A 12,527-nucleotide genomic window follows, 5' to 3' on the forward strand; every position below is an offset into this window, starting at 1 on the left:
TTCCTCTGCTCCAGGAGTTACCTCCATTTACAGGTGAGGGTCAGAGGGTAAGAAGGTTTCCCAGTCGCACAGTCAGTGAGCCCCACAGCTGGGATTCTATTCCACTGTATCTATTGGATTCTTTTTTTTTTTTTTTTTTTTGAGACAGAGTCTTGTTCTATCACCCAGGCTGGAGTGCAGTGGTGCGATCTCGGCTCACTACAACCTCCGCCTCCTGGGTTCAAGTGATTCTCCCGCCGCAGCCTCCCAAGTAGCCAAGATTACAGGCTCGTGCCACCACACCCAGCTAATTTTTGTATTTTTAGTAGAGATGGGGTTTCCCTCTGGCGGCCAGGCTGGTCTCAAACTCCTGGCCTCAAGTGATCCGCCCACCTCAGCCTCCCAAAGTGCTGGGATTACAGGCGTGAGCCACCACACACGGCTCATATCAGATTCTAAAGTCCTTCTTCTTTCCATTAAACTAGGCTGCTTCTAAATTAAAAAGCAAAGCCAGGGCAGGGCTTGAGAAGGCAATTTAGTGTGATGTGAAGCAGAATATCTTGACAGGTTTCAGTAGCACCTTGGAGAAATCTATAGCACTCATATGCACAAAAGTTCATGTAGCTTTGTGTGTGTGTGTGTGTGTGGTCACTGCTTAGGAATGGGAGAAAGTGTGAATCTGTTCCGACTATTGAGTATGGCCGGGCACGGTGGCTCACACCTGTAATCCCAGCACTTTGGGAGGCCAGAGCAGGTGGATCACTTGAGGTCAGGAGTTCAAGACCAGCCTGGCCAACATGGTGAAACCCCATATCTACTAAAAATACAAAAAAATTAGCCGGACATGGTGGTGTGCGCCTGTAATCCCAGCTACTTGGGAGGCTGAGGCAGGGGAATAGCTTGAGCCTGCGAGGTGAAGGTTGCAGCGAGCCGAGATTGCACCACTGCACTCCAGCCTGGGTGACAGAGTAAGACTACGTCTCAGAAAAAAACAAACAAACAAACAAAAACCAGACTGTTGAGTATACACAGTGACCTTTGTTTCCGGAGAAGTATAAAGTAAGAACTCACTTCCAGCTTATTAACTCTTCTGAGAGATGCCACAGTGATTCACCTCTGTTAATGGGACCTGTTTTAAGAGCCCATGTTCAGTCACTGGTGACTTTTGTGCTTGTAAAAGCTGCCATGTGATTACACAACGCGCTGCTCATATTACCCTGTGCTGGAGGCCCTAGTCAGGTCACCCTTTCCTGTGGTGTCAGCTGTGACTGAGGGGTGCAGGAGGCTGGAGTCTAACCCAGGAATCAATCCAAGGTCCATTTGCACGGCTCCCCCAGCCTTAAGTAAACCAAGTAATCAGAATGGTTTGAAGGGTTAGTTAGGAAGTGGCCAAGGGTGCATTTCGTGAGCTCTATATCAGGACTTGACAGATGTAACTAAAACATTGCACTTTAACCATTTCAAGCTCTCACATAGACCAGGTGTTGGCTCTCCATTTCCCAAAGGAGAATCCACCTTTACAGTTTCTACCTTAGGAGGCAGAATCTGTCTCGTTGCGGTTTTAAGCCCAGCGCCAGGCCCTGTGGCTGGTACACGGTGAGACTCGGTAAGTGTGTGTTGAGTTAACGAGTGGTCCAGGTCACATAGGAGGCAGCTGGAGGACATTGCCAGACTCCATGCCAATGGACTCCTAATCCCAGGCCCTTTCTAGAAGTTCTGCTGTGTTTGTGTTCTGATGACAGATATGTGAGTATACATCCTACATGATTTTTCCATCATTGGACAGATGAACACATTAGTTCCCTAAAGCTTACTGTGATCTTTTAAATCTGTGTGAATCACACTAGAAGTGTAAATAGTTGGAGTGTTTTTGTTTTCTTAGTTGATAAATAAAGGTTCATTTGAACAGTTGCTAAAGTTGCTTAACATTGATTTTTTTTCTGAATATTGTGATTTCTTGACATTGAACCAAGAGCCAAGTAAAGCTTCATGAATCACCGAATCTATTTAGCTGTGACAGAAAACCAAATGCAGTGTGGCACCCAGAAGTGATTAGTTATCAGCTCTCCAAGGTGGATGCAGGTGAAAGGTTATACAATAATCTCTGAGCCAGTGTGTTGCAGCCACAGTAATTGAAGTGACTGTACAAGATTTTTTGGTTGCTATATCCATTTCAGTCTGAGACGGTTTGGTAACTGTTCCCAGAAGTGCTTGGGTAGCCAGGTGTGGTGACAGGCACCTGTAATCCCAGCTATTTGGAAGACTGAGGCAGAAGAATCACTTGAACCTCGGAGGTGGAGGTTGCAGTGAGCCAAGATCGCACCACTGCACTCTAGCCTGGGCAACAGAGCAAGACTCCATCTCAAAAAAGAAAAAAAGTGCTTGGGAATTGAGTGAAACACCCCAACAAATGTGCAGAGAGCAGAAAGGGAGGGTGCAGTGGGGGGGGTCATGATGAGCACGTGGGTAGAAATTGCAAAGTGGTGAGTTAGGTTGAGCTGGTGAAGGCTGGGATGACTCACAGGTTTCATGTAGGTGGAGGCTGTCCCTGGTGTGTGCTTTTTAGTGAACCATAAGGAATGAAACTTTTGGCCCCTGTTAGAACTTATTATCCACCCTGGCTTTCTAACCCTTTGGGGTCTGCAGATAACCTATGACTGGTCAGAAATCCTTTTTTTTTTTTTTTAAGTGCCCATGAAATAGCTACATAGCTGTGTTTTGCTGTACTAAGAAAACAAGATTAGAACAGGGAAAGCACTAAACTCTTCTTCTCAGGAGATGAGGAGAGGTGAATGTTTTAAATGGTTTGTAAGAAGGCAACAACTAGCTCACCAGATATTTCCATTTAAATCAGTAATTTTCAATGTAGTAGTAATTTTGCCTCTCAGGGTACATTTGACAATATCTGGAGACAGTTTTGGCTGTCACAACTGGGGGTGGGGAGGGTGCTACTGATATTTAGTGGGTAGAGTCCAGGAGCTGCTGAACATTTTACAATGCACACAGGTGCCCCGACAACAAAGACTTACCTGGTCCCAGATGTCAGTGGGGTGGACGTTCAGAAACCCTGGCTTAAAGAGTTGAAAAATATTTATTGACATTTCTTTTCTTTTGGAGCTCATTAATAAGGGAGGCCATAGTACAGAGTTTCCATGATGTCCTGTCCCATTAAAGAGTTACCCACAGCGTCACCATATGAAGAGGGGAAGACGTACCCTCTTAGGGCCCCTATCGTGGAGGAAACAAATGGACCCTTTACTGAGCACTTGCGACGTGCATGACCCACATGATCACATTGAATTCCAGGGTCTTGCTGTGTACCCAGGCTGGAGTACAGTGGCAGGATTATAGCTCACTGCAGTCTCAACCTCCAAGGATAAAACGATCCTCCGGCCTCAGCCTTCCAAAGCACTGAGATTACAGGCATGAGCCACCCCTTTTGGCTGACATTTCTATTTTTTTTTTTTTTTTGAGACAGTCTCGCTCTGTCGCCCAGGCTGGAGTGCAGTGGCGCAATCTTGGCTCACTGCAACCTCCACCTCCCGGGTACAAGCGATTCTCCTCCCTCAGCCTCCCGAGTAGCTGGGACTACAGGCATGCACCATGACACCTGGCTAATTTTTGTATTTTTAGTAGAGACGGAGTTTCACCATGTTGGCCAGGCTGGTCTTGAACTCCTGGCCTCAAGTGATCCACCTGCCTCAGCCTCCCAAAGTGCTGGGATTACAGGCGTGAGCCACTGCACCCAGCACCAACATTTCTTTTGGTTGGTTTCAGGCACTGTGATCATGATCTGTGCTGGTTCGAGGCTTTTTTTTTGCCCCCTCTTTAGCGCTGTTTCTGACCTGCAGTTTACAGTACAGGGTGCTGTTGTCACTGCCCTGCCTCTTCAGTTTCAGATGATTGTACCAAAGCGGTGCTGTCTTGTGACAGCTTGGCTTTCCATGGTTGTCCTTTTGGCAAGCAGCTGCAGAACCAAAGTTGTGGAGTGCTTGGGATTTGCGGTGCCCGGCCCATGCCACTCACCTGCTCTCAGTTGTGGAGTGGAGCATGCCAGTGTCATTTGAAGGAGCTGCGTTTGCAGGAGGCATGAGAGAGCATAAGCTGGGATGAGTTAGGAAGGATGGAAATACTTGGGGTTTGGAAGTTGGGTTTTTTTTTTTAATGTTTGTTGGTTTTTTGTTTGTTTTTGTTTTGTTTTTTGAGATGGAGTCTCACTCTGTTGCCCAGGCTGGAGTGCAGCGGTGCAATCTTGGCACCCTGCAGCCTCCACCTCCTGGGTTCAAGCAATTCTCCTGCCTCAGCCTCACGAGAAGCTGGGATTACAGGTGCGAACCACCATGCCCAGCTAATTTTGTATTTTTAGTAGAGACGGGGTTTTACCATGTTGGCCAGGCTGATCTTGAACTCCTGGGCTCAAATGATCCACCTGCCTTGGCCTCCCAAAGTGCTGGGATTACAGGTGTCAGCCACTGTGCCTGGCCCGTTTGTTGGTTTTGAATTAAAAGTTTAGGGTTCCCAGTGGGGCATGGTGGCTCATGCCTGTAATTCCAGCACTTTGGGAGGCCGAGGCGGGGGGTTACCTGAGCTCAGGTGTTCAAGACCAGCTTGGCCAACATGGTGAAACCCCGTATCTACCAAAAAAAAAATACAAAAATTAGCCAGGCATGGTGGCGGCTGCCTGTAATCCCAGATACTCAGGAGGCTGAGCCAGGAGAATCACTTGAACCTGGGAGGCAGAGGTTGCAGTGAGCCAAGATCGTGCCATTGCACTCCAGCCTGGGCAACAAGAGTGAAACTCCGTCTCAAAAAAAAAAAAGTTTAGAGTTCTGGACTGTAAACTGCACACTAATATTGGAATTTAACAACCGAGATGATCATAGTAACTCTTGTTGAGTAGGAAGTTATTTCGTTTTTAACCCCGTTTATTTTGCTCTCTCATACCAAAGGTTTGTCATAGTTGCTGTTGTTTCTACTATGATGTCATTTAAATTGTTAGTATGCATCCATTTTTTTTAGAATAAAATGAGACTTAAAAAACAAAGCTGGCTGGGCACAGTGGCTCACACCTGTAGTCCCAGCACTGAGAGGCCATGCAGGGTGGACCACTTGAAGCCAAAAGTTCAAGACCAGCCTGGGCAACATGGTGAAACTCTGTCTACATATAAAATGCAAAAATTAGCCCAGTGTGGCAGCATGGGTGTGTAGTCCCAGCTACTCAGAGGCTGAGGCAGGAAAATTGATTGAGCCCAGGAGGTCAGGGCTGCAGTGAGCTGTGTTCATGCCACTGCACTCCAGCCTGGGTGACAGAGTAACACCCTGCCTCAAAAAAAAAAAAAAAATTATTTCTTTAATAGAAAGCTAGTAGCCAGTTTTCAGAATATTGAAGAGACAACATAGGCAGCGTTTCCCATACTTTTTGAGGGTGGAACCCCTCTTCTGTGGAACATCTCTAGTGGCCAGTGTTCCATGGAACATACTTTGGGAATATGCAGTTCTAATTAAAGGGGGACTGTGACACCACGATGTGTGCATTATAGTGTTTGTGATGATTTCAGAGCTAGGCAAAGACAAGCTCTATTTGTTTACTCAGCCTTTAATAGAAGACCAATCAATAACCTCAGCCATTAAATCGCCCTGCCTACTTCTTCTATACACTTAGCCATTACTTATGTCTCTTCATTTTTATTTTTTCTAAGAAGACGGTACCATGCATTATTTCCTGCAATATTTTACAGGAAGTTCAGACTAATTTTAAGGAGAACAAAATGTACTTTTAATATAACGCGATGGTAGATATTTTTGAAGGAAATACAAAAAAATTAACCGAGGGGTTTTTCGAGTGCCAACCTGGAGTCACTTGCTCAAATAGGCACTGGGGCTGTGACAGCAAACAGAGTGGACCTAGTAGTAATTGCAGGCGGCATGGCCCAAGCATTAGGTCTGTTCTTCTGGGTTGAGTTTTTTTTTTTTCTTTTTTTCTTTTCTTTTTTTTTTTTGAGACAGAGTCTCACTCTGTTGCCCAGGCTGGAGTGCAGTGACGGCCTCTCGGCTCACTGCAAACTCCGCCTCCCGGCTTCAAGCAATTCTCCTGCCTCAGCCTCCCCAGTAGCTGGGATTATAGGCACCTGCCATCATGCCTGGCTAATTTTTGCATTTTTAATAGAGATGGGGTTTCACCATGTTGTCCAGGCTGGTCTCAAACTCCTGACCTCAGGTGATCCACCCGCCTCAGCCTCCCCGAGTGCTGGGATTACAGGCATGAGCCACCACGCCCAGCCAAACAGTTTTTTTTGTTTTTTTTTTTTTTTTTTTTGAGGGGACTCTCACTTCATTCTCACAACATCTCCACGAGGTCGAGGCTCCTTCCCCTGTCTTTTAGCTGAGCACGGGCGTGCACAGATGTTAAACTGGTCCTAGGTCCTGCATCTAGGAGGCATCACAACCAGGATCTGGACACGGGAGGGCCAACTCTGGCAAGCTCTGTGAACCAACACATTCCACCGGGTTGGTTTTTCTGATTGTTTTTTGTGGTCTTTGCAGATAGGAAGCATGTGAGAAACTGAATCCTTTCAGGTAATGAGTCAGATCCTTCGTGGGGTGATATCCCTTAGGGGGAATGTGCCTCTGCTGTTTTACTGGTAGATGCTGTCACCCAGCCTGCAGATTGTGTGCACTGAGGACAGGGAAAGGGCCGCAGTCAGCTGCAGGGACACCACCGAACAGACATGGGCCTGGCCTTGGTCAGCGTCAGGGGAAAAACGAGCCCTGATCCACTGGTGACGCTGCTTCTCTTAAAAGGATGCATGAGAAGGTGCTGACTTTGTATCACGGGAGACCTAGATAAAGATAAGAGGCGAACAAATGCCCGGCCTCAGCACAAGAGCCCCTGGGAGCGGGAGTCAGCACATGCAGGTGCTGTGGGCAGACTGAAAGGAAACACCACTCCAGGCTGATGGAATTTGCAGGGTCGTGGGAGGCCCCAGGCAGATTTGCCCCTAGCATTTCTAAAGGCAGATGTCACTTGGCACATTTTTGGCTGTGCTCAAGTTGGTGGCATCTAATTGCTTAAGTCTTTGATCAGTCTCCTCAGCATATGCTTGTTTTTGATACACCAATGGCTCCTTCCGCTTTTCTGTGAAGTGGCTGACCTGCCTATCCCTCTTATGGTGGAACCTCCCTTCCGTGAGCACCTAGGCATCCGTGGCACGGCCAGGGTGGAGATGGGTCTCTGCCCTGCCACGCACGACTGCTTAGCCACTTTCCATTGGCCAAGACACCGCGCTGCCTAGTGACATTGGTTTTGGCAAATCCAGGGTCAGTGTGACAGCCAGCAGGTGGACACACACAGCAGGGTGAGAGATGGCAGCGGCTCCCGGCGATGAGGAAGGTGGGGCTTCCCCAGCCAGGCGAATCCGCTGTGGTTCTTCATGCAGCATTCGCAGAGCAGTGTGCAGTGGGACTCGGGAAGATGGGGCGAGCCCTTGAACCCTATCCTCTCTCATCAACAGAACGGATGCTCTGCTCCTGAGACTGTCGCTGGTGGTTGGCAAAGAGGTGTTTTACACCGCCCTCTGGGGGAGCGTCCTGGCCAGCCCGTCCATCCGCCTCCCTGCCTCAGTCTTCGTGGTGGGCCACATCAACAGGGATGCCCCCGGCCGGGAGCAGAAGTACATGCTGGGGACCAATCACCAACTCACGGTGGGTGCTGTGTTCCTCACAGGGCATGGGGAGGAGGCGACATGTGGGCACAGCATCCTCATGGGCAGGTTGTCACTGAAGCTGCAAAGGGACATCCAGGAAAGGGAGGTGCACCAAGCTTAAGTCTGGGTAACGAACGGCTGAGCAAGGCGAGAAGGAGGCCTTGTGCAGTTGAGGCTGGTGGTGGCTTTTTTAACATATGCATTAAGGTTTTTTTTGTTTTTGTTTTTGTTTTGAGACGGAGTCTCGCTCTGTCGCCGAGGCTGGGGTGCAGTGGCACAACCTCGACTCACTGCAAGCTTCGCCTCCCGGGTTCAAGCAATTCTCCTCTCTCAGCCTCCCGAGTAGCTGGGATTACAGGCACCCACCACCATGCCCGGCTAATTTTTGTGTTTTTAGTAGAGATGGGGTTTCACCATGTTGGCCAGGATGGTCTCGAACTGCCTGCCTGGCGGGTGATCCACCCACCGCGGCCTCCCAAAGTGGCATTAAGATTCATACATTCAAATAAGTGTTCACACCCTCAGAGGTCCCTTCTGGAGGCCCCTGGCTTTGCAGAAATGTGCTTAGCTGCACACGGCGCTCAGACGGCCTCTGCACGCAGAGGGTCTGCTGCATTGGCGGGTCTTTGTTTCCTTCCTCTGTCCTGTGTCACGGGGGCCACTGCCCACTCACACATGGAAACCCCCTCCTCCCTTGGCGTCCTCCCCCTCCTCTCTTGTCTCCATTGGCTGCTCTCAAACCTAAATTATTGGGGTCCCCCAGGTATCCATCTCCAGGCCCTTCAAGGGAAGCTCTCTTCCCTGGTAACGACATCCCTTCTCGTGCCCTTAGAAATGGTAACCTCCCAGATCTTTGTCTCTTTTCCCCAAACCTGCCTCTTGTGCTTTTGTGTCTTGCTGTCTTTCGCCACCTGGTGGTGTTCCCACACTTTGATCTTAAAGTGTTCAGATTGAATTCGCAGGTGAGAAGATCTGCAGCTGAGTGTGAATTACCCTCTGGTTCCATTTCTCTTTGCAAAATGGGGGTTGTAGACCTGCTTCACAGGATCTCTCTGATGACAAGGTGGAAAAATGGATGAAAAGCGCCTCGCACAATGATCAGGACACAGGCGACCCCGATGAACACGTCCCTTTCCTGCCCCGTCAGTATCCCCTTTGTCTCTTTCTCTCCATCGTCTCAGCCCTGCTCTGGCTTCTTGTCTCTTACTCTTGGATCTGACTGGTTTCTTCCCATCCCAAATCTGCTAAGAGATTTGGGATGGGGAGAAAGCCTAGCTTTGCTCATATGTATCCTGTGCTTTAAAAATGTCTGACTTCCCGGCTGGGTGCGGTGACTCATGCCTGTAATCTCAGCACTTTGGGAGCCCTGAGGCAGGTGAATCACTTGAGGTCAGGAGGTCAAGAGCAGCCGGGCCAACATGATGAAACCCCACGTTTATTAAAAATACAAAAATTAGCCTGGGCGCAGTGGCTCATGCCTGTAATCTCAGCACTTTGGGAGGCCGAGGCGGGTGGATTACCTGAGGCCAGGAGTTCAAGACCACCCTGGCCAACATGGTGAAACCCCGTCTCTACTAAAAATACAAAAATGAGCTGGGTGTGGTGATGGGCGCCCGTAGTCCCAGCTACTCAGGAGGCTGAGACAAAGGAATCGCTTGAACCTGGGAGGCGGGGGTTGCAGTGAGCTAAGATTGCACCACTGCACTCCAGCCTGGGTGTCAAAGCGAGACTCTGTCTGAAAAACAAACAAAAAAAATTAGCAGAGCATGGTGGCGGGCACCTATAATCCCAGCTACTCAGCTGTCTGAGACACGAGAATCGCTTGAACGCCGGTGGCAGAGGTTGCAGTGAGTCAAGATCACACCACTGCACTCCAGCCTGAGTGACAGAGCAAGACCCTGTCTCAAAGAAAATAAAAAAATAAAAATATCTGACTTCCCATTGCCAACAGCTATAGTCCAAGCTCAAGAGCATTCTAACCATCTGCTCCCAGCCACAGCACCTCACTCTTCCCTGCAGGCCCTGCGCTCCCACACGACTGCCACAGGGCCTGGCCTCACAGTGCCTTTGCTCCCGGCTGTTCCCTTCTGTCCCCCTGGCTGTGCATTCCTGCCCTTCTTCGAGGTCTCAGTGTAGCTCCTTCCTGTTCTTCAAGCCCAGCTTTCCCGTGGAGCATCATTGTTCTCTGCAGTTGAAAGAGCTCTCCTCTTCTGAACTCTGAGCGTTTGTCTGTGGCTCTAATTTCTTATGCATCTCTAGTCTACCTATCTGTATTCAGAAAAGACACTCAGAATATCTACTGAATTGATCAGGAATTATTTTCCCATGTGTCTTCAGAGCTTTAGTTTAAGGTTCCTGTTGGATCCTTTCTGGGATCGTAGAATTTGAGATCATAGAACCCGGCCATCTGGTCCAAACCCCTCCGGCTCTCACGTGGAACAGTGAGGTCTGCAGCTGAACGTCTTCTCCGATGTCACGCAGCCTGTGGCCTCGAGAGCTAGAACCCACACCCTCCTGACCTGTGGCTGCTGGTTCTCTTCTGAGTGATATAACGCAGGAGTTTCAAGATTCCCGGGAAAGGTTACTTTCGTTTTTATGACCATAAAGAGTAGCCTGAAAATGCTAGTGCCGTTTGATCGTTTACAGGTGAAGTCTTTGCGTGCCTCCCTGTTGGACTCAAATGTTCTTGTGCAAAGAAATAATCTGGAAATCGTTCTGTTTTTCTTCCCATTTTATACCTGTCTGGTAAGTAATTTGTACTCTTCTGGTAAGTCACTGGTGTTTCCCAAGGGGTGGGATATAGATCTCAAGCAGTTCTGTCGTACGAGGACAGCTCAGCCACTCATGGGCATTATTTGCTGGTAGCCAGTGAAAAGTCCTTGTTCATTTTTGCAAGGATAGCGTTTTCATTGCACGTATTGAATAGCTTCTTTCCATGGGTAATGTGTAAGGAACCAGCCCATTTTGAGATAGAGCTTTGCAGACCAGCAAGGAAGGGCTGCGTGTCAAAAAGTCAGCAATCTGCCCTATCATTCCCTTGCAGTAAATTTCTCTGTCCTTCTAATAGGATTCCAATGAGAGAGCCATCCCCCTCCTCAGATCTGACATCGTGCGCATTCTCTCAGCCGCCACCCAGACCCTACTGAGAAGGGACATGTCCCTGAACAGAAGACTGTATGCATGGTTACTAGGTACTGAGCAGTATACACCCTTTTAAAGTCAAAGTTAATATGAAACCTTTTAGTGCTGACTTCTGGAATAAGATTTGGTCTTGGTGATGTATCTCTGAATCATGAAGTATGGAAAGATACCACAATGACTAAATATGGCACTGGTCAGTTGAGGTCTGCTGCCTACACATAGCTTGGTTATTTTGCAGTTTCTTTTTTAAAAAAGGGGAAATAATAAGTGGGATTTTTAAAATGCCAACTGAATTCCATTTAAGAGCTTGAAATACCACCAAAAAGTGGTAGCAAAACCTTATTCAGGTAGAAGCCTGTTGCTATGGAGAAGTTCCATGGGATGAGGGTGTATCGTGGAGAAAACTTACAAATATTGTGGAAGATATGTAGATAAAGGAGGAGGTTTTGTGTAAGTGTAAATGTTTTGGGAGACATTTGGATAACTTTGGAGATCACGAGAGCCCCTGGGCCATGTTTCTGTGTGTCAGAGTGTGTGGACTGCCTATAAATTTGTTGGCAAAGGGCCCTTGACTATTGGTTGGAAGGCCTCCCAGGGACAGAGCCTAGGAAATTGCAACTTTAAAGATAACACGTTCATGAATTTTCTAAAGTCCCATATTCACGTACCTAAGAAAACGTATACAAAACGATTGTGACAGGACTTAACAGCTCTGATCAACTCTCAACATTTAGATCTTTTTTTTCCTTTTTGAGATGGAGTTTCACTCCGTCGCCCAGACTGGAGTGCAGTGGTGCAATCTCAGCTCACTACAACCTCGGCCTCCCAAGTTGGAGTGGTTCTCCTGCCTCAGCCTCCCAAGTAGCTGGGATTGCAGGCACCCACCACCCCGGCTGGGTAATTTTTGTATTTTTAGTAGAGATGGGGTTTCGCCCTGTTGGCCAGGCTGATCTTGGACTCTTGACCTCAGGTGATCTGCCCACCTCTACCTCCCAAAGTGCTGGAATTACATGCCACCACACTCAGCCTAGCATTCAGATCTTATCAAAGATCTTACCAAAGTCAAGAAGTCCTCTTCAGTCCTTCCTGCTGTTCTCCCTAGTTATAAAACTTTAGAAAGTCATTGCATGGAAGCTTACTAAGGATTTTAAGAAGACTATTTGTAGGCTCTTTAAGGATTTGTATGTAAAGGATGATTTTGTCAAGGGCACAGCTCTGCTCCTACGGGACTTGATATGCTGTGTGGAGGACACTGGGCCTGACCACAGTGCCAGCTCTGGCTCACTTACTTGCGGCCCCAGGAGCCCCATATTCTTTGCCCATACCATGAGGATGCACTTTCTTGCCCTGAGAACCTTGCAGACTTATCCAGGGCTCCAGCTGATGGGAGCATGTGCATGAGAATACCTTGATCTCACATAATGCTGGACAAAAAAACACTGGTTTTAAAAAGTGATCCTCAGCCAGGCATGGTGGCTCATGCCTGTAATCCCAGCACTTTGGGAGGCCGAGGCAGGTGGATCACCTGAGGTCAGGAGTTTAAGAGCAGCCTGGCCAACATGCTGAAACCCCTTCTCTACTAAAAAATACAAGTGATTCTTCTGCCTCAACCTCCCAAGTAGCTGGGATTACAGGTGTGCGCCATCACGCCCGGCTAATTTTTTGTATTTTTAGTAGAGACGGGGTTTCATCATGTTGGCCACG

The 12,527-nt window shown here is 48.2% G+C and overlaps 1 protein-coding gene across 5 annotated transcripts in view, besides 2 other annotated features; it reads left to right on the plus strand.

Annotated features, from left to right (window-relative positions):
- DOP1B (DOP1 leucine zipper like protein B) overlaps nt 1-12,527 on the plus strand; it is a 137,451-nt gene that overhangs the window by 44,401 nt on the left and 80,523 nt on the right. For all 5 annotated transcript variants that reach the window (XR_937581.4, XR_007067795.1, NM_001320714.2 and 2 more), the window contains 3 exons: nt 7,491-7,680; nt 10,329-10,427; nt 10,750-10,873. Coding sequence is in view for 3 of the 5 variants with exons in the window: in NM_001320714.2 (NP_001307643.1) it covers nt 7,491-7,680; nt 10,329-10,427; nt 10,750-10,873 (413 nt within the window). In the remaining 2 variants the exon portion in view is untranslated. The remainder of the gene's footprint in view (nt 1-7,490; nt 7,681-10,328; nt 10,428-10,749; nt 10,874-12,527) is intronic.
- Nucleotides 8,447-8,741: a silencer, noted in NCBI's record as "tiled region #3517; HepG2 Repressive DNase matched - State 12:CtcfO". NCBI's record gives its function as "represses a minimal TATA promoter and a strong SV40 promoter by Sharpr-MPRA in HepG2 cells {active_cell/tissue: HepG2}" and the evidence as "EXISTENCE:reporter gene assay evidence [ECO:0000049][PMID:27701403]".
- Nucleotides 9,346-10,280: an enhancer, noted in NCBI's record as "H3K27ac-H3K4me1 hESC enhancer chr21:37582868-37583802 (GRCh37/hg19 assembly coordinates)". NCBI's record gives its function as "activates a minimal SCP1, AML or CMV promoter by ChIP-STARR-seq in naive H9 embryonic stem cells {active_cell/tissue: H9 hESC(naive)}" and the evidence as "EXISTENCE:reporter gene assay evidence [ECO:0000049][PMID:30033119]".

Source organism: Homo sapiens, chromosome 21, assembly GCF_000001405.40.
Source record: "Homo sapiens chromosome 21, GRCh38.p14 Primary Assembly".
In the NCBI taxonomy this organism is placed as follows: Eukaryota; Metazoa; Chordata; class Mammalia; order Primates; family Hominidae; genus Homo; species Homo sapiens.